At 38.4% G+C, this 24,722-nt stretch overlaps 1 protein-coding gene and 1 pseudogene across 1 annotated transcript in view, besides 1 other annotated feature; both read right to left on the minus strand.

Annotated features, from left to right (window-relative positions):
- The window catches only part of TAFA2 (TAFA chemokine like family member 2), a 551,762-nt gene that overhangs the window by 507,246 nt on the left and 19,794 nt on the right, over positions 1-24,722 (minus strand). The window lies entirely within an intron of this gene.
- Positions 17,543-17,715: a silencer, noted in NCBI's record as "fragment chr12:62626842-62627014 (GRCh37/hg19 assembly coordinates)". NCBI's record gives its function as "represses an EF-1alpha promoter that drives an FKBP-Casp9 reporter gene in an ReSE screen in K562 erythroleukemia cells {active_cell/tissue: K562}" and the evidence as "EXISTENCE:reporter gene assay evidence [ECO:0000049][PMID:32094911]".
- On the minus strand, positions 18,575-20,082 carry KLF17P1 (Kruppel like factor 17 pseudogene 1; annotated as a pseudogene).

The following is a 24,722-nucleotide window of genomic DNA, read 5'->3' on the forward strand; positions in this document are numbered from 1 at the left end:
CTGCAGCCACAGTCTCTGCTGGAAAAAAGAAAGAACTTGTCTTTCAAAAAAAAAAAAAAAAGGGGCGGAAGAACTTGTTTCTCTTGCTTAAGAGAAACAACTCGTTTATCAAAAAAAAAAAAAAACAAGAGGAAGAACTTGTTTTTCTTGCTTAAGAGGAAGAACTTGTTTCTCTTGCTTAAGAGAAACAACTTGTTTCTCTTGCTTAAGAGAAACAACTTGTTTCTCAAAAAAAAAAAAAAAAAGAGATATGACACTTGCAAGTTACATTTTGTGTGACCTAAACTCCCTGAATCTTGGTTTCTTATTTGTAGACAGAGAGCTCTTATATAATAGCAGCTACTCTAATGATAATGGTTGTCATGAGCATCAAATGAAATTTTATAAGAATTGCTATTTGTAAAGACCAGTGGGTTTTGCCCATCAAAAGATGGGGTTTCTAGAGACCCTGTATCACCATGGCAAGTGAATAAAGTAACAGTTTCCTCAATCCTTCCCCAAGGGGACAGTACCAAAAGCCATTTTCTCAACTAAGAAAATACCCAAATGTTTCAAGGACTTTTGGACACAGAGTCTGAGTTGACACTAAAGCATCATTACATTCCTCTGTTAGAGAACCAGCATATGGGGGTAAAGTAACAAATGGAGTCTGGCCAAGTGCTATCCAATTGCGGGTCCACACACCTATCCAGTAGTCACTACTGCCATTGCTAATTGAATAACAATAGTGGACATGCTTGGTAATTAGCAGAACCCCCATGTTGGTACCTTAGACTGTGGAATAAGACCCATATAGTAGAGAAAGGTAATTTTAAACTCTGAAACTGCTCCTTCCCAAGACAGTAAATTTTAACAAACAGCATTTCATCTGTTTGTTAGTGTGGGTATTGGGGAAGTGGTGGCAGAGATTAATGACACCTTTAAAAACCTACATAATATTTGGTTGCTGATTTTCATCCTATTCCCTTTCAACTGACCAGCAAGGACCCTACAAAAAACAGACATATCTTGGAGAATGACAGTAAAGTAAGGCAAACTCGATCAGAAAAGTAGTTCCAACTATAGATGTTGTCCCAGATGTGGCTTCTTTGCTAGAGCAGATTACCACAAATTCTTAATACACAGTATACTATTGTTGATCTGAAAAACGCTTTATTTTCCAATCTTATTGGAAAGATCAGAAATGGTTTGAATTCACTTGAAACAGATAGGTGTATATGTTTACAGTCTTACCCAAAGCTAGGTTAATTCTTTTGCCCTCTGACATAATGTATTTCAAAGATGCCCGAACTGGTCATTTGTCAAAACATAGCATTGGTTCACTATTTCAGTGGTACCATATTAATTGGACTAGACAAGCAAGAAGTTAGCATATACATTACGGTATACCATATGCATTCCAGAGTGCGGGAGCTAAACCCTATAAGGGTTCAGGGAAATGCCATGTAGGTAGTATATGGGAGTCCAGTGATCTGGTACAAGCTGCGACATCCTCTCTAAATGAAACAAATTATTGTATCTTATATGTCTCTCCGCAAAAAGGGAAGCACCATGCCTGGTATTCTGGTATTCCTCTTTGGCTAACATGTTTAACATATTACATATTGGCAAATACTGCTTTTACCCACCCTCTAGATAGCATGAAAGGCTACAAGCTTTGAGTGGGGTCCAAAGCAGCAGACAGCCCTGCAGCAGGTACAGGGAGTACTTGGGCCATATGATCCAGCAGACCTTTCAGTATGAAAAGCATCAGTAATAGGAAAAGATAATATGTGGAGTTTATGGCAAGGCCCTAAAGTAAAACCACAATGTAAATACCTAGGATTCTGGATCAAACCACTCCATCTGAAGTAAGGAGTTACACACCATTTTTTAAAATAAAAGCTCTCTGCAGTGCAACTGGGCCCTGGTAGACAGAGAGAAAAGACAAAGAGTCTAATTACAGAAGATCAAGTGATTAATGGACTAAAACTGTCTGTTATGAGGTAGGTTCTCCCAGAGCTGCCCAAGTCAGCTGAAGAAAGCCTCTTGCCCAAGATCAAGTCCCTTTCCAGAGGGAAGCTCATTTTCAGTGACTGATCCAGATGTAAAGTTATAAGGCCCAGCCCTTCCTTCAAAGTAGGCCAACTCTGAAGGGCCATACCTGTTCCAGAGCTTCCCTCGAGGTGGCTGAAGCCATTATCACAATTGCATCACAGCTCAGCTCTCCCATGAATATTCTTACTTCCTCTGCTCTCTCACAGATATCGATCCCAAGGACATTCTTCAGTAAACTTCTTTCAGACAAATTTGCATCTTAGAATCTTTTTTCCCAAGCAAACATACCTGAGATGGGTACTTACCAAAATGCTATTGAGTTGAGTAAGTGAAAATGAGCCAGGAGAAAAAAGTTTTACTTCTGAACTTTTCAAAACTAATGCTGATTGAATTTATCTATTTTTATGTATGTATTTATTTATTTATTTATTTATTTATTTATTTATTTATTTATTTTTGAGACAGGGTCTCACTCTGTTGCCCTGGCTGGACTGCAGTGATGCGATCATAGCTCACTGCAGCCTCAGCCTCCTGGGCTCAATAGATCCTCCCACTTCAGTCTCCCAAGTAGCTGGGACTACAGGCACGCACCGTCACACCGGGCTAACTTTTTAAATTTTTAGTAGAGATGAGGTCTTACTATGTTGCCCAGGCTGGTCTTGAACCCCTAAACTCAAGCAATCCTCCCCGCTCAGCCTCCCAAAGTGCTGGGATTACAGGAGTGAGCCACTGCACCTGGCCTGAATTTTAATTTGTAAAGAAAAAACAGTGGAAGAAAGGAAATGAGGGAAGGAAAGGAAAAGAGTCTCTCCTACCCGTGTCTGATGAACACATCCCCTATTACTTGAAATGCTAGTATGTGATCAGTTGGGTAGGCTCACATCCCTAGTTATCAAAGTGAGGGATAATGTTAGCCTGGAGAACTACCACAATTTGCTATTCAGCAAAGAAAAAGCTAAATATCCTAACCCAACCCGTACTGTGTTTGCCTCCTGTGAAAATTCTGAATTTCATTCACTCATTTAATAAATATTTATTTAGCACCTACAATATGTCAAGCACAGCTCTATATTTTATAATATAGTACTACTATCTTTACGATCTTTATAGCTTTAAATCTATGAATGAAATAGATGTTTCAGATATTCTTGGATATAATATTATACATAGCCATTTATTTTCTTTCTCTTTTTTTTTGTTGCTTTCTCATTGCAAGTCACAAAGTCAATAAATCAGTGATAATCAGAGTAGATATCTAAAGGACATTTAAATTGGAATAGTTTTCTATTTACCAAAGATATTCTGAAGGACATTTTTCAGGCTGTTACACATTTACATAGGAGATTCAATAATATCATACTTGCAAAGTAGCTAGACATTATGACATTTTGGATTTGAGATGATAGAATTAAAATGACAATATAAGAAAACTGTAATTTACACATAATTAGAAAAGATGAGGACAAAATAGCATTTTAATTACTGACAATGAATAACATACCAGGGAGAATATAGCAAAAGAAAATTTAGTGGGAAAACATTTTTGAAAACACACAAAACAACTTAAGTTTCTCACAGTAAGATTATATCTCTGCAAATTGATGAATAAAAATATGCTCCAGCTTTGAAAAAAAAAACTTAGGTTAACATAAAAGAATTCAAAAACAAAACTAAGAGAAATTCATCTGTGAAATTACTTAAAGTGTAGAGATGAAAAATTAGCTTCGGTTAAAACTGTAAATGAAATCATAGGTCACAATTTTATTAGTCTTTAATAGAAAACTTGAAGAAGTTGCTAACACAAGTGCTTTTGGAAATGCAAAGCATTGGCAGATACAGGAGAAGGTTAGAGAATATTTACACACAGCAACCCCAGAATTTAAATTAAATCTACAGTTAGTCTAAATCACATAAACCTGAATTTTTGTATACCAAGGATGAAGTTATTCGATAATAATCAAAAGTTAATTTTAATAGAAAATTCCAAGTCTTGTTGAATTGAACCTTTGAAATTGGGTGTTTGTTATAAAAGAAACTTATTTTCTAAAGAAAAGTTTGTTCACTTAAAGTTGTAAGCACTATTTGTCATAAGGGGTTGAATTTGCTCACCAAATTTACAATTAAATCACTGACTATATAACCTAACTGCTTTTAATATAAATCACTCACCCAGTACATGAAAACTGTGCCTCCTTCTATTAAGTTATAACTATATCTGCAAGTGTTCCTCTTTCAATAGGTTGTTAAAGTAAAGAAATGATTCTAACACATTACCTTTAAAACACAACACAAAATCTCATTCTTTTGCAGAAAATACTCAACAAGCTAAGCTGTAGATATGAACTATTTTTAAACCCAGTGATCAGCAGATCAAAGAGAATATAAGATGAAAACTGAAAATACCTAGTACATTTTGGGAAGTGGAAAAATCTAGAAGAAAGTTATGGAGCATTTTTAAACAACTAAATTATTGAAATGTTACCAAAAATAAAACAACTGCTCAGATGCAATTGTTTTATTTAATAAAGGCAAAACCTCACTAGAGGCAGAAACAAGCCACCAAATAAAAAAAACCTAATGAAGTTAGAACTAGAACAAAGTAAAAGTCAAATGAAAGAAATGGAAACAATAAACTCAAAGGAAAAATCATTTTAAAAACTAATCATTACTTTTAAAAAATTACAAAATTACACCCACTTACTAAAAAGGAAAAAACTACAAATTAATAAAATGAGAAATAAAATATAAAAAACAAGACAAAAAATTTTTAAAAATATCTAAAACAATAATGAGATACCACTACACACCTGTAAGAATGGTCAAAATCAAAACATTACAACCCCAAATCCTGGTGAGGATATAGAGCAACAGGAACTGTCACTCACTGCTGGTAGTAATGCAAAATAGTACAGCCATTTTGGGAGACAGTTTTGCAGTTTCTTACAAAATTAATTGCGGATGCATGTCATCATATATTTGTCAAAACCCACAAAATATATAACATCAAGGGTGGATCCTAATAATAACTGTGGACATTGAGTGATAATGACGCATCAATGTAAGTTCATTGACTGTAACAAATGTACCACTCTGGTGGGAGATGTTGATAGTGGGGGAAGAGTATGCGTGTGTGTACGCAGTGGCATATGGGATCTCTCTGTACTTTCCACTCAACCTTGCTATTAATCTAAAACTGCTAAAAAAAAATAGTCTATTTAGAGAGAAAGAAAAGAACAAAGGAAGGAAGAGCGAAAAGAAAGAAGGGAAGGGGGCCGGGCGCGGTGGCTCACGCCTGTAAGACCAGCACTTTGGTGAGGCCGAGGCGGGCGGATCACGAGGTCAGGAGTCGAGACCATCCTCGCTAACACGGTGAAACCCCATCTCTACTAAAAAATAGAAAAATTAGCCGGGCATGGTAGCGGGCGCCTGTAGTCCCAGCTAGGGAGGCTGAGGCAGGAGAATGGCATGAACCCGGGAGGCGGAGCTTGCAGTGAGCCAAGTTTGTGCCACTGCACTCCAGCCTGAGCGACAGAGCGAGACTCCGTCTAAAAAAAAACAAAAACAAAAACAAAAACAAAACACAAGGGAAGGGAAGGGAAAGGAAGGGAAAGGTAAGGAAGGGGAGGGGAGGGGAGAAGGAAGGAGGGAAGGAAGGAAGGGGGGAAGGAAGGAAGGAAGGAAGGAAGGAAGGAAGGAAGGAAGGAAGGAAGTTTGAAAGAAAAGAAACAAAAATATTCACCAAAATACCCATCTCCAAATAGCTAGATGTACAGATCATTTTTGTATTCTTTGATATTCATTGTTCAAAAACATTGAAAATATTAGACCAACCAACTGATTTAGTAGGCATCTAGGTTGGTAACAGATACTAAGACTTATTACTGGGCTATGATAACTAAGACTATTAGTTCAGGGAAACTAATAGTCTAAGTGCTATTAGTTCAGGGAAAAACAAATAGATCAATGACTCAGGATAGATAACTCAGAAAGATCTATTCATATATGAATACTTAATATATGACAGCAGTGGCACAAAAGATTGGTGGTTTTTAGCAAATGGGTGTGGGATAATTGGGAAAAATAAAATTGGACCCTAACCTCTCATTGATTCATGAGAATCAATTCCAGGAGGATCAGAGAAGTAAATATAAAGACAAAAATGATAAAGATTTTAGAAAATAGAATTGGAGGATATTTTTATGACCCTAGAGAAGGAAATCATTTTTAAATAAGATGCAAAAAGCTCTGACCATCAAGTTAAGATTGAAAAAATCTAGTACATTAAGGTAAAGAATTTATGTTCACCAAATAACAACATAAAAGGGTGATAAGAGAAAGCTTAAAGAGGGGAGAATATATTTTTAACACGCAACTACAAAGTGCTAGTATTCAAACTCTTAGAAATCAGTAAGTTGGAGAAAAGAAATTGCCACAGTAGAGATTTCTAAACCATGTAAAGCAAAGAGTCTAAGAAGATGGGAGTGGACCTGAAAAAAAGTAAGATTAAAACAAGCAATGTTTATTTTAGGAAGTCGGTCTGTTTCTGTGATAGAGGGGTGAAGAGAGACATTGCATTGTAAGAACCCTCACAGATGCCTACCTGTGCCTATATGCCTACAGAGAAGCAAAGGTATAATAAACACACACACACACACATCTGGAGTCATAGGGAAATTTCACCTCACTTCAACACAGCCCTGGCTCATTCTCAGTATAAGCCACCTACATGTACCTTGTCCAGGAAAAACTTACCTCCCTCAAAATGAGTAATCAAGAAAGAACCAGTGCAGGATCTAATCAAAGAAACCACCAGAGAAAATTAATAGGGAGAGCTTAATGATAGACTTTTTTAAAACTTTCTTCAAAAAATACTGCTGAAGTGTAAGTGAAAATGGTGGCCCACACATTTTACCATGAAATCAACATAAATATTCAAGGATATTATTTATTATTATTATTATTATTATTTTGAGACGGAGTCTTGCTCTGTCGCCCAGGCTGGAGTGCCGTGATGCGATCTCGGCTCAGTGCAAGCTCCACCTCCCGGGTCATGCCATTCTCCTGCCTCAGTCTCACGAGTAGCTGGGACTACAGGTGCCCGCCACCACGCCCAGCTAATTTTTTTTTTTTTTTTATTTTTAGTAGAGATGGGGTTTCACCATGTTAGCCAGGATGGTCTCGATCTCCTGATCTCGTGATCCGCCCGCCTGGGCCTCCCAAAGTGCTGGGATTACAGGCGTGAGCCATTGTGCCTGGCCTCAAGGATATTATTTTTGCTCCATGAACTGAAAACAAAGAAATGCAATGTCTTCATGTACACACACAGCAACCAATTAAAAGATACTAAGAAAAGATCTTATAACAATTTTTAAAAAGATAAAACACCTGAGAATATACTAAACAAAATGTAAGCAAAATCTATATAAAGACAATTTTAAAATGATATTAAAGGACAAAAAAGAAGACAAATGAAGCAGGAAACCATGTTCTTGATTAGAAAGACTCAGCTGTATTAAAATATAAAGTTTTCTTAAATTAATCTATAAATTTAATGCAATCTTTTTAATTAGGCAAGCTGATTCTAAGTTTGATACATAAAAAAGTAAGTAATATATGATCAAATGATTTATTTTGAGACAGGGTCTCACTTTGTCACCCAGGCTGGAATGGTGCAGGGGCATGATCATGGCTCAGCTCACTGAAGCCTCTACTTCTTGGGCTCAAATGATCCTCCCACCTCAGCCTCTCAAGAAGCTGGGACCACAAGCATGCGCCAACCATCCCTGGCTAATATTTTGTGTGTGTGGAGATGAGGTCTCCGTATGTTGTCTAGGCTGGCCTAAAACTCCTGGGCTCAAGCAATCCCCTCACCTCGGCCTCCCAAATGAAGTGATTTTTGACAACAGTGCCAAGACCATTCAATTCAGATAGGACAGTCTTTTCAATAAATGATGCTGAAAAAAACTGGATACAAATATGCAAAAAAAACGAAGTTGGATCTTTACCCAACACTACATACAAAAATCAACTCAAAAATAGATTAAGACCTAAATGCAAGTGCTAAAACTACAAAATTTGTGATTAAGACCTAAATGTAAGAGCTAAAACTACAAAATTTGTAGTGGAAAAAAAGGGAAACATTTCATGATATTGGATTTGGCAATGATTTCTTGGATATGTCACCAAAAGCACAGGAAACAATAAAAAATAGATAAGTTGGACTTTATCAAGTTTTTAAATTTTGTGCATCAAAAAACACTATCAACATAGTGTAAAGGAAACATAAGATAGTATGATTGCTTTGGAAATTAGTATACTGGGTACTCAAAAAGATAAAAGAAACATATAATTACCATATGATCCAGCAATTCTATTTCTGAGTATATATCCAAAATCATTGAAAGGAGGGACTTGAATAGATATTTTTACACCTATAATCTTATTATTCACAATAGCCAAATAGTGGAAGCAACTCAGGTATCCATCAATGGATGAATGAATAAACAAAATGTGTTTTATATGTGCATACACACACACACACACACACACACACACACACACACACAATGGAATATTATTCAGCCTTAAAAAGGAAGGAAATTCTGACACATGCTAAAACATGGAGGAGGTTTTAGGACATTATGTGAAGTCCATACAAATGCTTCATAAGCATAAGCATTTGTATGATTCCACCTGTATGACGTACCATGTTAGATGTCTTGGTGTATTTAGGCTGCCACAGCAAAATACCATAATCTGGGTGGCTTATCAATAATAGAAATTTATTTCTTACAGTTCTGGAGGCTGAGAAATCCAAGATCATGGTGCCAGTAAATTCTGAGTCTGGTGAGTGCCCACTTTCTGCTTCATAGGTGGCTGTCTTCTCACTGTGTCCTTACATGGTGGAAGGGGCCAGGGAGCTCTCTGAGGTCTCTTAATAGGGGCACTAATCTTATTCATGAGGGCTTCACTCTCATTCGGGAGGTAATTATACCTCCCAAATGCCTCACCCCCTAATACCATCACATTGAGCATTAAAACTTAACATATGAATTTTGGGGTGACACAAACATTTAGACCATAGCACTGGAGTATTAAAATTCATAGACACAAAAAATAAAATGGTTGCCAGAGGCTGGGGAAAGGGAGGGATGGGGAGTTATTGTTTAATGGGTTCAGACTTTCAGTTTGGGAAGATGAACAAAGTCCTGGTAACAGGAATTGATGGTAACAGTGGTTGCACAATAATGAGTGTACTTAATGCCACTCAACTGTATACTTAAACATTGATAAAATAGTAAATTTTACGTTATTTACATTTTCGCAGATTTTTAAAATTAAAATTAAAAAATAAGTAATGGGCAATACATTTCTGAAAAAGAAGAGCATTAAAAAGGGCTTAGTTCCACACGCCTGTAATCCCAGCTACTCAGGAGGCAGAGGCAGGAGAATCACTTGAACCCAGGAGGCGGAGGTTACAGTGAGCTGAGATCACACCACTGCACTCCAGCCTGGGCGACAGAGTGAGACTCCGTCTCATAAAAAAATTTAAAAAAAAAAGTTGGTGGGGATGGTGGCGGGCTTAGTTTAATCAATTAATTAAGACAATGTGGTACTAGCACAATATTAGACAAACAGCTGGAAGAAATGAACTAGAATGTCCAGAAATTGATCAAATATAATGAGAATTTAGTTGCTTCAAGTCAGTAGAGAATGACTACTTTAGCAAATGGTGTTGGGACAATAATTATCCCTCCAGGAAATAATGAAATTGGATACACACTTTCCACCTTATAACAATAAAAATTCCAGACTGATCAGACTCAAATGTAAATAAATCATAAAGAAGCTATAAGAAATCATGTGAGAAAAACTGTTATAATCTTGAAATCAGAAAAGCCTTTCTAAGCGTGCTTCTAAACTGAAAAGCCATAAAAGAAAGCACTGATTAATTTTACTAGAAATTAATTTTTTAAATACATGAAAAAAACCCAACAAAGTTAAAAACTGGAGAAAGCTATTGCAACATACAAATAAATGCTTAATTTTCCTTATATAGTAAAGATTCCTCCAAATCAATATTAAAGAAAAAAAATGGAAAACAGAGAAACATCAAAGGAGACATTTTATAGAAAAGGACATACAAGTGACTCTTAGTCATATGGATACACAAACTTTCTCACAAGAAAAGAAATATGTATAAAGATACCCCAAAATATGAATTTTTACATGTAAGTTTGACAAGGATCAGAAAGTTTAATAACACATTCTTGGCAAAAGCATAGAGAAACAGGCAGTTTTATACATTGCTGATTGGTGTATAAATGGGTTTAAAATCTGTGGAGGGTAATTTGGCAATATTTATAAAAATTTCCAAAGTATGTGCATTTTGAGGCAGTACTCCCACATCTAGAAACTTACACTACAGATGATCTCACATAACATGCACTCCATCCTCAAAGTGTTTAGGTTTTGCCCCTCAGGTTATACCCATTGCCTTCAAGAAGTTTTGTTTGTTGGCTCTTTCTAAGATGTTCATAGTGGTGTGCTCTCTTTACTTTCTCCAGTAAGTACCTTTGCTTAAATGCTGTTGTGTTTTAGGACTCCAGTCTTGGTCTATATCTTTCTCTTGATTACTCTTTTTTTTTTTTTTTTTGAGACGGAGTCTCGCTCTGCCGCCCAGGCTGGAGTGCAGTGGGGTGATCTCCGCTCACTGCAAGCTCCACCTCCTGGGTTCACGCCATTCTCCCGCCTCTGCCTCCCCAGTAGCTGGGACTACAGGCACCCGCCACCACGCCTGGCTAATTTTGTTTTTGTATTTTTAGTAGAGACGGAGTTTCACTGTGTTAGCCAAGATGGTCTCGATCTCCTGACCTCACGATCCACCCTCCTCGGCCTCCCAAAGTGCTGGGATTACAGGCGTGAGCCACCGCACCCGGCCTTGATTACTCTTTTAAGCAATCTCATTCCACTCTCTGGGCCTTAACTACCATCAGTAGGTTAATCACCTCCAAATCTTTAATACTGATACCTATCTTGAGGCTTTTAAACCTGTGTGTAACTCAAGCCCTTCAAACCCTGAATATCTAAGAGAAAGTTTACCCCACTTTCCATCCTCCAAACACATTCTTCCTCTCATATTTCCAAAATCAATTAATGACTCTACTATTCACCAAGTTACCCAAGGCAAAAATATGGAAGTCATCTTTAGTAATTTATTCTTCTTTACTTTTCACTCACAATCAAATGGTGCCAGTTTTCCCTTGTAAACATTTCTCAAATCTGGCCCGTCCCCTGTAACCCTGCTACTGCTGCTTTAGTTCAGGCCCATCTTTTTTGGCCTGGCATATTGCAGCAGCTAAACCACTTCTCCTGCTGTGTATAGCCTTGCTCTCATCAAGGTCACCAAAGCCTTGGTAGTCTATCTGAAACCCAGATTTCAATATGGGAACACCCTGCTTAAAATCCATCAGTGAATCCCCACTTCCTTCAGCCTGAAGCCTAGACTATGTATCATGACATAAGGTCTTCATAATCCATTCCCCTTTCCTTATCCTCACTTTATTTCTTGTTATTCCATACCTTGCACTTTGTGTTCTGGTGGTGTAGAATTTCTGGTAGTTTCTTCCTCAGATCACATTATTTTTTCCCTCTAACCTCTCTTACACTCTTACATTTCTTCTTGGCTAAGCCTTATTTATCTCTCAAGACAGAAGTCGTTAATCATATCCCCCAAAAAGCCTGCTCTGAACTTCCTGGTCGGAGTAAGTATGCAGTCCTACTGTGTACAGTTACATATGCATACACTAAAGTGTCTGGCTGATGGGACAAGCAGGGGCAGCAAACTCTCTGGCAGAAGGGTATTTGTCTTTTTTTGAGAAATAGCTCTGCAGATCTTTTGCCCATTTTAAAGTAAATTATTTGTTTTCTTGCTATTGAGCTGAGTTTCTCATGCATTCTGGTTATTACTCCTTTGTTGGATAGATACCGAGCAATATTTCCTCCCATTCTGTAGGTTGTCTTTTCTCTTTGTGGATTATTTCCTTTCCTGTGTAGAAGATTTTAGCTTGATATAATAACATTTGTCTATTTGTGCTTTTGTTGCCTGTGCTTTTGAGGTCTTATCCAAAATGTCTTTGCCCAGACCAATGTCCTGAAGCGTTTCCCAAAGTTTTCTTCTCATAGTCTCAATCCTAGACTTAAGTATTTAATCCATTTTTATTTTATTTGTGTATATGGTGAGAGGGCTCAAGCTTCATTCTTCTGCTTATGGTTTGTAGTTTTCTCAGTATCATTTATTGAAGAGACTGCCCTTTCCCCAATGTACGTTCTTGGTGCCTTTTCCAAAAATGAGTTGGCTGTAAATGTGTGGATTTATTTCTTGATTCTCTCTTCTGTTCCATGGGTCTATGTATATGTTTTTATGTGGGTGCCATGTTGTTTTGGTTACTATGGCTTTGTAGTGTATATATTTACTTTGTATATACACATACACATGTATATATACACGTGTGTACATACACACACACTTATCTCTGAAATAATTGTTTTAATTTTTAATTTTTTTATCGTTGCCCAAGTAGTAAACTTAGCACCTGATAGGTAGTTTTTCAACCCTTTCCCTCTTCCTCCCTCCCCACACTTGGAATCCTTCGTGTTTATTGTTTCCATCTATGTGTCCATGTGTACGGAATGTTTAGCTCCCACTTATAAGTCAGAACATGCAGTATTTGGCTTTGGCTTGGGTTGATTTCATGTCTTTGCTATTGTGAATAGTGCTGTGATAAATATATGAGTGCAGGTGTCTTTTTGGTAGAATGACTTATTTTCCTGTGGGTATATACCTAGTAATGGAATTGCTGGATCAAATGGTATTTCAATTTCCAGTTCTTTGAGAAATCTCCAAACTGCTTTCCACAGAGGCTAAACTAATTTGCTTTCCCACCAACAGTGCATAAGCATTCCCTTTTCTCTGCAACCTCACCAACATCTGTTATTTTTTGACTTTTTTATAATAGCCATTCTGGCTAGTATAAGATAGTATCTCACTGTAGTTTTGATTTGCACCTCTCTGATTATAGTATATTTTGAACTCAGGTAGTGTGATATCTCCTACTTTATTTTTTAAGTTCAGGATTTTTTTGGTTATTCAGGATCATTTGTGCTACCATACAAATTTGAGAATTTTTTCTGTGAAGAATGTCATTGGTATTTTGATAGGAATTGCATTGAATCTGTAGAAAAATTTGGGTAGCATTGACATTTTAATGATATTAACTCTTCTAATTAATGAGTATGGAATATCTTCTATATTTATACACCCTCTTCAACTTCTTTCATCAGTGTCTTAACAATTTTCCTTGTAGAGAACTTTCACTTCTCTGGTTACATTTACTCCTATGTATTATATATTTTTATAGCTACTATAAATGGAATTATTCTTTTTTATTTCTTTTTCAGTTGGCTGTTGGCATATATAAATTCTACTGGTTTTTATATGTTGATTTTGCATCCTGCAACTTTACTAAATTCATTTATCAGTTCTAACAATTCTTGGTGGTGTCTAGGTTTTTCGAAATATACTATTATGTCATCTGCAAACAAGGATAATTTGACTTCTTCCTTTCCTGTTTGGATGCCTTCAATTTATTTTTCTTGCCTAATTGCTCCCGTTAGGACTTCCAGTACTAGTACTACATTGAATAAAAGAGGTAAAAGTAGGCCTTTTTGTCTTTTTCCAGATCTAAAAGAATGGCTTTCAATTTTTCCCCATTCACTATAATGCTAGCTGTTGGTTTGTCATATGTGGCCTTTATGGTTTTGAGGTATGTCTTTTTTATAACCAGCTTGTTGAGGGTTTTTATCATAAAGGGATGTTGAATATTGTCAAACACTTTTTCATCATCTAATGAAATGATCATATGGTTTTTGTTCTTGATTCTGTTAAGGTAATGCATATTTTTATTGATTTGCATATGTTGAACCATTCTTGTATTCCTGGGCTTCCCATCTAATCATTATCAATTTTCTTTTTAATGTGCTATTGTATTTGGTTGCTAGTATTTTGTTCAGGATTTCTACATCTATGTCCATCAGGAACACTTGCCTGTATTTTCTTTTTTTTTTAATTGTGTCTGTCTAGTTTTAATGTCAAGGTAATTCAAGATTTGTAGAATTAATTTGGAAATATTCCTTCCTCTTCAATTTTTTGGAATAGTTTAGGTAAAATTGTATTAGTTCTTTTTTAAATGTTTGGTAGAATTTAGAAGTGAAGTCATCGTGTCCTGGATTTTTGTTGTTGTTGTTGTTGTTGTTGTTGGGAGACTTTTAAATTATTGCTTTGATTTCATTATTCATTACTGGTGAGTTCTGGTTTTCTGTTTCTTCATGGTTCAATGTTAGTAGGTTATATGTGTCCATAAATTTTTCCATTCCTTCAAGTTTTCCAATCTGTTGGCATATAGGTGTTCATAATAGTCTTTAATGATCCTTTGCATTTCTGTGGCTATGTGGTTATGTTCCCCTTTTCATTTCTGATTTTATTTATTTGGGTCTAATTTTTTTTCTTAGTCTAGCTAAGGTTATGTTGGTTTTGTTTATCTTTTTTAAAAACTAACTTTTAATTGATTTTTTTTGGTATCAATTGTATTTTATTTCTTCTCTGATCTTTGTTATTTCTTTCATTCTACTAATTTTTAGTTTGGCATATTCTTGCTTTTCTTATGATCCTTGTGATGCATCATTAGGTTGGTTATCTGAAATCGTTCTATGTTTTTGATGTAAGCATTTATTGCTACAAACTTCCCTCTTAGTACTGCTTTTACTAGATCCCATAGAATTGGGTATGTTGTGTTTTCATTTTCATCTCTTTCAAGAAATTTTTGAATTTTCTCTCTAATTTCTTCATCAGCCCCTTGATCATTCAGGAGGATGTTGTTTTATTTCCATGATTTCTATGGTTTTCAAAGTTCCTCTTGTTATTAATTTCTAGTCTTATTCCATTGTGGTCAGAAAAGATATTTGATATTATTTAGACTTTTTTGAATTTGTTGAGGCTTGTTTTGTGGCCTAACATAAGGTCTATTCTAAAGAATGTTTTTGGGTTTTGGTTTTTCTTTGTTTGTTTGTTTGTTTGTTTTTGATATAGGGTCTCACCCTGTCACCCAGGCTGGAGTGCAGTGACACAATCATGACTTAGTGTAACTTCAACCTCTAGGGCTCACATGATCTTCTTGCTTCGGCCTCTCAACTAACAGAGACCACAGTGTGTACCACTAGGTCTGACTAATTTTTTATCTTTCATAGAGATGAGGTATCACTATGTTACACAGGCTGGTCTTGAACTCCTGGGCTCAAGCGATCCTCCTTCCTTGGCCTCCCAAAGTGCTGGGATTATAGGCATGAGCTACCACACCCAGCCAAGAATGTTTAATATGCCAATGAGAAAAATATGTATTCTGCAACAGTTGGATAAAATTATCTGTAAATGTCATTTATGTCCATTTGATCCACAGTGTAGTTTAACTCTGATGTTTCTGTATTTATTTTTGGTCTGGATGATCTATTACTAAGAGCTGGGTGTTGAAGTCCCATACTATTACTGTATTGCAGTCCATCTCTCCCTTTATATCTATTAATGTTTGCTTTATATATTTGCTTTATATATTTATATGTTTGCTTTATATATTCTATAATGTTTGCTCTATATTGTTTGCTCCAATGTTGGGTGCATATAGATTCACAATTATTATATACTCTTGGCCTCTTTATCATTAAATAATGACCTTGTCTCTTTTTACAGTCTTTAACTTGAAGTTTATTTTATCTGATATAAATATAGCTACTTGTACTCTTTTTGGTTTTCCATTTGTGTGAAATATCTTTTTCCATTTCTTCACTTTCTACGTCTTTTTGGTAAAGTGAGTTTCACGTAGGCAGCATATAGTTACGTTTTGATTTCTATCCATTCAGCCACTGTCTTTTAATCAGAGAATTGAGTCTGTTTACATTCAGTGTTATTATTGATAGGTAAAGACTTACTACTGCTATTTTGTTACATGTTTTTTGTTTTTTTTAACAAAATTTTCCAAATTTTATTAAGACTATAAAGATTTAGATTGAAAAAGTTCAATGAATCACAAACAGAATAAATTTAAGTTTAAAACCAAACAAAAGCAATCACTATACTTAAGAACGGATACGTTATGTGGTAAAAACAATAAATAGCTAAGGCAAGATTAATCAAAATTCAGTATAGTGGTTACCTCTGCAGAGAAGGCTGGGGAACTCAAAGCTTTAAATGTATTAGTACATTATTTTTCCTTCTTTTCTTTTAATTTTATTTTTTACAGAGACAAGGTCTTGCTGGTCTCAAACTCCTGGCCTCAAGTTATCCTCCACCTTGGCATCCCAAAGATTACAGGCCTGATCTTAGGGGTAAATAAGTATTTTTATTAGTTTTCTTTTTTTCCTTTTTTCTTTGACCTTCCCAATGTGAGTGCATTTATTATTAAATTGGATATATACAAAATATTTCTTGCAGGTGTGATAGACATCACAATAAATGGAAAATTAATGAAGTTCATCATTCTTCTTCTGTGTTACTTATAACACAAGCCAGAAACCTGGAGGTCACCCTTGACCTCTCCCTCACCTACCAAAAATTCAGTTAACTGTCACTTTCCTACTTCTCCTTACCTCCACTCTCACACCCTGGCCAAAGCCACCTTGACTCTCTCCTGAAATACTGATATGTCCCTTTCTCTCCATTACACCCTCACTCTAATCTAATCTCCACATTGCAGCCAAAGAAAACACTTTCAGCCTTATCTCTCCATCTTGAATCTATCTCACCATCCCCTTTACTATCAGAAGCAAGAGTGACAAGTAAATTTCCCAAGACATCTCATAGCCAGGAAATGGCAGAGGCAGGATTCAAAATCTACTAGAGAGTCCACGTCTTTGTTTGTTTGTTCTGACATGGAGTCTCACTCAGTCACCCAGGCTGGAGTGCAATGGCACAATCTCAGCTCACTGCAACCTGTCCCCCAGGTTCAAGCAATTTTCCCATCTCAGCCCCCCGAGTAGCTGGGATTACAGGCACCCACCATCATGCCCGGCTAATTTTTGTATTTTTAGTAGAGATAGGGTTTCACCATGATGGCCAGGCTGGTCTTGAACTCCTGATTTCAGGTGATCCACCCGCCTCAGCCTCCCAAAGTGCTGAGATTACAGGCATGAGCCACCACACGCAGCTGAGTCCACGTCTTATCCACCCACTGTCCTACTTTGGGTGATACTAGGAAAGACTTAGCCACTGCCTAGCACAGGGCCATCTCTGGATAAAGACTTATTTCTCCTCCAATCACCACCCCACCTCCTTTTATCTGCCGTTAGCTCCTAGTTTTCCTTAAATATGACTTCAAACCACAACTTTCAAGAAATGCCTTTCTAACCCCCTTACCCAATTGCAAGTCCTCACTATTTGTCCTCCCAGCAATTTCTGCATCTCTTTTTTTTTTTTTTTTTTTTTTTTTTTTTTTTGAGATACAGCCTCATTCTGTCACTCGGGCTGGAGTGCAATTGTGCCATCCTGGCTCACTACAACCTCCGCCTCCCACGTTCAAGTGATTATCCTGCCTCAGCCTCCTGAGTAGGTGGGACTATAGGTGTGTGCCAACATGCCCGGCTAATTTTTGTACTTTTTGTAGAGATGGGGTTTCACCATGTTGGCCAGGCTGGACTCTAACTTCTAACCTCAAGTGATCTGCCCACCTCAGCCTCCCAAAGTGCTAGGATTACAGGTGTGAGCCACTGTGTTCAGCCCACTTTGTGCATTTCTAGTAACATCCCTCCTCCACTAGATTGTGACCTCCACAAGAGCAGGAGCCTGTTTTGCCCACCATTGGAATGCACTTCATACACTCTTGATCACTCTGATCCTCTCCACGTCCATTTCTTGGTGAAAGTGCTAGATCATCAACCAGACCTCTCGTCTTACATAACAAGCAATCTGGTCTGCTGACCCTACCCACGAGGCTGTGTGTGAGCCAGGTGGGCTGGGGAACAGAGACCAGCCCTGGCCCAGTGAACCCGAGATGGCCTGCTCCATGGAAGGGATCTGGTGCCCTGGTAGAAATGAAAGATTCTTTGAGTATCCAAGACCTCAATCCCTGGGGCTAGTGAATGGGTCAAAAATGAGCCCCTTCTGCTCCTGTTCTTTTAATCATGTCCACTCCCCTCACTTGGGAGCTTGGATGGAGGGCACCTGGATGTCCATCCCAGGTATACTGGGGCCACTAGTAACACAGACCGAGGCAGCAAAGTAGGACAGGGTCAGGGTAGGGGTGGGAGAGCAGGGCAGACACAGCCAAGGCTGTGGGCTTCTCTAGAGGCCCAGATAAGCTTGAGCCTGTAGAGGACCAGCTTATCTCCTTGGCAGCACTGGGCACATTCAGAAATTTTGTCTATGATCTTTCTGCTCTGCAGAGGCAGGGTGCCTTCATACACCTCTGAATCCTTACTGTCCATGCCATAGTTTTCAGAAGATAGAGACATGTCCAATGGTATATGTCCAAGAAATGGGAGGTGCAGCTAGCCGCCATGAGTCCTTTGGATCTGACTGAGGCACCTCCTTGAGAAGTCTTTCTTCCCTGACACATTCTTTAGTTATCTCCATGCTCCTCGCCATGGGTCCCCACAGCCTTGGTGCTCTCAGTATTGTAGGCTCAAAAAACATTTGCTGAATGAATATAGAACTTGAAGACTGCCTCTCCTCTGAGCAGTTGCCAGGTCCAGTGTTCTCTGCCTAGAATCCTCTTCCTTCATTCACCTAAGGACCAGGAACAGGACCGTCCTGCTGTCCATTGTTGGCCCGTGGGTCTGAGGGTCCTGGCCAATGAGTCTTCTGGTGTTGCTTGAGATGGTCAGACCTCATGAACTCTTGGCTGCACTGATCACATTTATATGGTCAATGTCTGGTGTGTACCCACGTATGTCATCTACGCTCATTAGAACGGAAGAAAGACCATAAACACCTTTCCCGTTGCACAAATAGGGCCTCTCACCCATGTGCTTGCACTGGTGGCTAACAAGGTAGGAGCGTTTGGTATAAGCTTTTCCGCAGTTCTCGTAGTTGCAGCAGTAAGGCCTTGCCTCTGAGGAGCCCCGTCTACCAGTCCTTTCCTGAGGCCTGGAGTTCTGCTCTGCTGTCTGTGGAGCAGGTCTGGGATGCTCCGGTAGGAATGGGCCTGCTTGGGAGTCTGGCTGACTTACGAGAGTCCTGAGATCCTAAAACCAGCAATGACTGGGACTCAGCTCGGGGCATCCCACGATCATGGGCATCTTGTGGGGGCAACATCTGAGCCACGGAGGGGGCATAGCCTGGGCCTCAGTGGAAGGCATGGTCGAGGCCAACAATGTTTCATCAGAAGGTACTGTCGAGAGGCCAGGGTAAGGCATTGTAGGGTCCCCAATATGAGACATCACTGGAATTCCAGTGGAAGCTGAGACTGGCAGCCTGAAGGCCCTGGCCACCTTTGGAGTACTGGCCTCTCCTACAGGCATTATCTGGGGCCCACTGAAAATCATCATCTCTTGCTGAGGGGGAGACACTCCCTGACAGTAAATCATCCGGAAAGGAGTGGGAGTCGCTTAGGGGCAGTAGCTCACGCCATGCTCAGGCAGTGGCATACTGAACTGTGGCCCCCCTTCATCCACAATCTTCCCTGATGCCTCAACAGACAACAAGGGGGCCCTCGGCATCTCTGTCCTGTGAGGAAAGTGCTGAATGCTTGGTAGGCCATGGTTCCAAGAGGTGTGCACTCCGGAGCTTCCAGAAGATGAGTCATGTTCAAGATGGGTGCTGAGTTCTACTTATCCTGGGCAGCCTGGTGCGCCGCCTGCCACTGGCTCAGCTTCCCAGCTTCCTGCTCCTTCTCAGCCTGTGGTCGGCTGTACATGAAGACTAGGTGGTGTCTAGACTCTCTGCTGAACAGACAGGGAGCAACCCACCACGGCATCGCAGGTGGTTATCGGGACATTGCCCCTGGTTGTTTTGTAACTCCTTTCTTCCTTTATTCCTTTGTTACTGTCTTCCTCAGTGGTTAAATGAGTTTCTCATTTAATGGTAATATGTTTAAATTTGTTGCTTTTTATTTTTAGTGGATCTATTTTAGGTTTTTGGAGGAAGGTTTGCTTGTTTGTTTTTGTTTTTTAGAGATGGGGTCTCATTGTGTCACCCAGGCTGGACCCTTGGGCTCCAGAGATCCTTCCACCTTAGCCTCCTGAGTAGCTGGGACTACGGGTTCATGGCACTGCACCCAGCCTATTATAGATTTTTTGCTTTGTTATTACCATAAGGCTTTCCAAAAAATGTCTTATAGACATGGCAAGTTATTTTAAATAGATGACAACTTCTGTCGCAAAGAAAATTAAAAAAAAAACAAATGAAGGAAAACCTAAAAGTCTCTACACTTTAACTTAATTCCCCCACTCATACATTCTGACTTTGTGTTGTCTCAAGTATATCTTTTTATACTTCCTATCTTTTAACAGATTTCTGCAGTTATTATTTTTGATAGATTTGTCCTTTAGTCCATACTAGAGATATGAAGGATTGTATACCATAATTACAGTACTAGAATATTCTGAATTTATGCGTGTATTTACTTTACCAGCGAGTTTATGCCTTCAAATGTTTTTTTTCTTTTTTTTTTCTTTTTTTTTTTTGAGCCAGTCTCACTCTGTCACCCAGGCTGGAGTGCAATGGTGCAATCTCGGCTCACTGCAAGCTCCACCTCCCGGGTTCACACCATTCTCCTGCCTCAGCCTCCCCAGTAGCTGGGACTACAGGTGCCTGCCACCATGCCTGGCTAATTTTTTTGTATTATTAGTAGAGACAGGGTTTCACCGTGTTAGCCAAGATGGTCTCCATCTCCTGACCTCGTGATCTACCCACCTCAGCCTCCCAAAGTGCTGGGATTACAGGCGTGAGCCACCGCACCCAGCCCAAATGTTTTCTTTTTGCATGTTAGTATCCTTTTCCTTCAGATTGAAGAACTCCCTTCAGTATTTCTTGTAAGACAGGTCTAGCAATGATGAATTTCCTCAGCTTTTGGTTGTCTGGGAAGACTTTATCTCTGCTTTATGTTTGAAGGAAAGCTTTGTTAGGTACAGTATTCTTGTTGGATAATTTTTTCCCTTGACCGAATGTCATCCAACTTCCTCCTGGCAAGTTGCTTTCCACTGAGAAATCTGCTGTTAGATGAAAATGAGCTCCTTTATTTGTTATTTGCTTCTTTTTTCTCACTACTTTTAGAATCCCATCTTTGTTCTTGACTTTTGAGAGTTTATTATACGCCTTGAGGTAGTCTTATTCGGGTTGAATCTGTTTGGTGATATGTGACCTTCCTGTACCTGAATATCAGTATCTTTCTCTAGGTTTGGAAAGTTTTTGGTTATTATTTTGTTGAATAGTCATTCTACCCCTTGCTCTTTCTCAACTCTTCCTTGAACACCAATGACTCTTATATTTTTCTCTTTTGAGTTTATTTTCTATATCTTGCAGGCATTCTGTGTTCCTTTTTATTCTTTTTTCTTTTCTGGATGTGCATATTCTAATAGCCTGTCTTTTAGCTCAGTAATTCTTTTTTCACATGATCCATTCTGTTCGCCGGGCGCGGTGGCTCACGCCTGTAATCCCAGCACTTTGGGAGGCCGAGGCGGGCAGATCATGAGGTCAGGAGATCGTAGATCCATTCTGTTGAGAGCTTCTAATGCATTTTTCAGTTTAACAAACGTATTTCTCTGTTCCAGATTTCTGTTTGACTTTTTAAATTATTTTAATCTCTTTGTTAAATTTATCTAGCAAATTTATATATTGTTTTGCTGTGTTATCTTGGAATTCACTGAGTTTCCTTAAAACTGCTTTTTGATTTCTTGATCTGGGAGCTTACTATTACCATGTCATTAGAATTGGTTCCGGGTTTCTTGCTTTGTCCATTTGGAGATGTCATGATTCCCTGTTTGTTGTTGTTTCTTATAAACATACATGTGTTGCTTCACTTTGAAGAATAATTTATTCTAGTCTTTGCTATCTGGCTTGTTTTCAACTTTCTAGGATATGTTTACCTAGAGATTCTTTGCAGTTGCCTGTAAGTGCCCTTAATCCTAGATTGCTGCTTCCTTTTTGGCATTAGATGGTGCATTAAGCCCCAGTTTGCTTCAGCTCTTGAAATCATTCAGAGCACTTCCCAACCCAGATTAGGGGTTACAGGGTCCCAAAGGGGATACCCTGATTGTGTGGGAAGGTTGGCTAGGAGTTCATGCACAGAAGACCAATGGAGGGTGCATCCTACATCTTGGTGTTGCTGAACAGCCAATCTGCTTTTACGTCTCTGGCTGAGATAAAGAGCAGAGTTTCATGAGCTGGGGTCTCCAGTCCTGCCTCTGTTCTTTGTTGCTAGCTAGACTCAGGAGTTTTTCTCCCTATAGGCATTTGCAATGCTTCCCATGAAATAAAGCAGGAATGGTTTTCCTGCAAGGGAACCCAGGATGGTGGGAAAATTGGCTGTCTCCCTTGATGTCACTTTTTATAGTGTGGAAACAATGGGTTTCCACATGGCATCTGGCAGATGGAAGGAGGGGCTTGATGGGTAGAAAAGTCCATTTCTCTTATTGTCTTCTCAGAGTTTCTCAGTGCTTTGTGGTCCTAGGGGTCATCTCAGCCCCAAATTTAAATTCTAGGATACTGCTGGCTATAATCTTGGCACCAGATATTTGTTTTCAATTTTCCGTGGGGAAGAGTGAAGCCAGATTGCTTCCACTTCACATTTTGGTTACATCACTCAACAATAACCATTTGTTTTTGTGAGCACTTTCCATGTGCCAGGCACTGTGCTAAATATTTTACCTACATTATCTCATTTAATCCTCCCAACAGCTCTCTGAGTTAGGAACTATTATGTTCCTATTTTACAAATGACAAATCTGAGGCTTGGAGAGATAAGTAACTTGCCCAGAGTTAGACATTTTGATTCCACAATCCAAACCCTTAATACTCAGTAATTTTAATTGAAACCTTCAATTTATAAATCTGACCATCCCACAAGATTTAGAGCAGAAATTATACTTTATTTATCTTTTTAGCCCTGATAACTAGCATTGTCTGAAATATTCTAAGTACTTACTAAATATTTGTTGAACTAAACCTAATCTATAATGACTTGTATTTACAAGTTATCAGCAGAACTACAGTATACAGTATATGGATACGTAGGTATGTTTTCTGTATATTTATATATATCCTAAATGTGACTGATTATCCTTGGACCACTCTTGCTCTGCCACTGCAGCTTCCTCTAAGCCAATTATAATCCATCTTTGCAATTCCAGAAAACAAATGTCTGATTCCAAGACGATTTATAAATATGCACGTTTTTATGAAACAGAAGAACAAAACTTTTTCCAAATTCCCTTTGAAGACTTTAGATCTTTTCACAGAATTTCTCTTTCCACAGAAGCCAGCCTTTCACTCCCTTTTTTCCCTCTGTGCCAATTTCAGTTATTTCTACCTCCAGAGTTTTCTCCCTGACTGTTCAATCTATAGTGAAGATAAATTTAGCTCTTTCTTTAGGTTTATTCCATTTCTATCTGCAATGGGCTGATTATATTTTCTAAAGGTGACCACCACAATAAATCTCATACCACAAGCCCACCTCTTAAGTGCTGTTCATTCTTGGTTCACATCTTTTTCTTGATGTATTCTTCCTAAGTAATTCCACCTTATCTCTGTATTTTAACTACCATTAGTATGCTAATGGCCCCTGAATTATAAGCACTGATCCTCATCTTTAGACTTTTACACAAAACATTATAATACAAATCTCATTACAGAATGACAGTGATACTCCTCTCATCAATTAATAGCTCCTCTTTTTAGTTTTGGTGGACAATTGTGACTAGTTCAATCAAAAGAGCAGGGTAGGAGTGATGCTAAATGACTCCCAAGAACAGATCACAGAAATGATATGCACTTCTACCTTGTTTTCTTGGGATGCTCCCTCTTTTAACCTAGCCACCATGTTGTGAAAAAAGAAAAACAGCTGCTTGTAGAGGCCATGTGTAAGTGATCCATCTGACCAAGAACCCCAACTGAGGTCCTATGCAACAGCCAGTATTAACCATCAGATATGTGACCGAGTGAGTCTTCAAATGATTCCAATCTCCCACCATTGAGTTATACACCACCCCATCTGATGCTGCATGAAGCAGAAGTGAGCTGTCCCCACTGAGCCCTTTTCAAATTGAAGTTTCATGAGTTAAATAAATGATTGTTGTTGTTTTAAGCCACTAACTTTCAAGTGGGTTGTTACGCAGAAAAGATAACTAGAATAGTCAGCCAATGCTTCTCTCAACATTACTAAAGATCTACTCTCCAAGAAGGACAGAGAAAGAGTATAAAAAATGTTTCTAGTTATATATATTATATAACAAATATATATGTTGCATAATTATATATATTTATCGTACATAAATATATACTAAATATGTTATATAATGATAATAATAAAAACAAAACTGGGCCAGGCTCCGTGGCTCACATCTGTAATCCCAGCACTCTGGGAGGCCGATGTGGGCGGATCACCTGAGGTCAGGAGTTCAAGATCAGCCTGGCCAACATGATG

This window comes from Homo sapiens, chromosome 12, assembly GCF_000001405.40.
Source record: "Homo sapiens chromosome 12, GRCh38.p14 Primary Assembly".
NCBI lineage: Eukaryota > Metazoa > Chordata > Mammalia > Primates > Hominidae > Homo > Homo sapiens.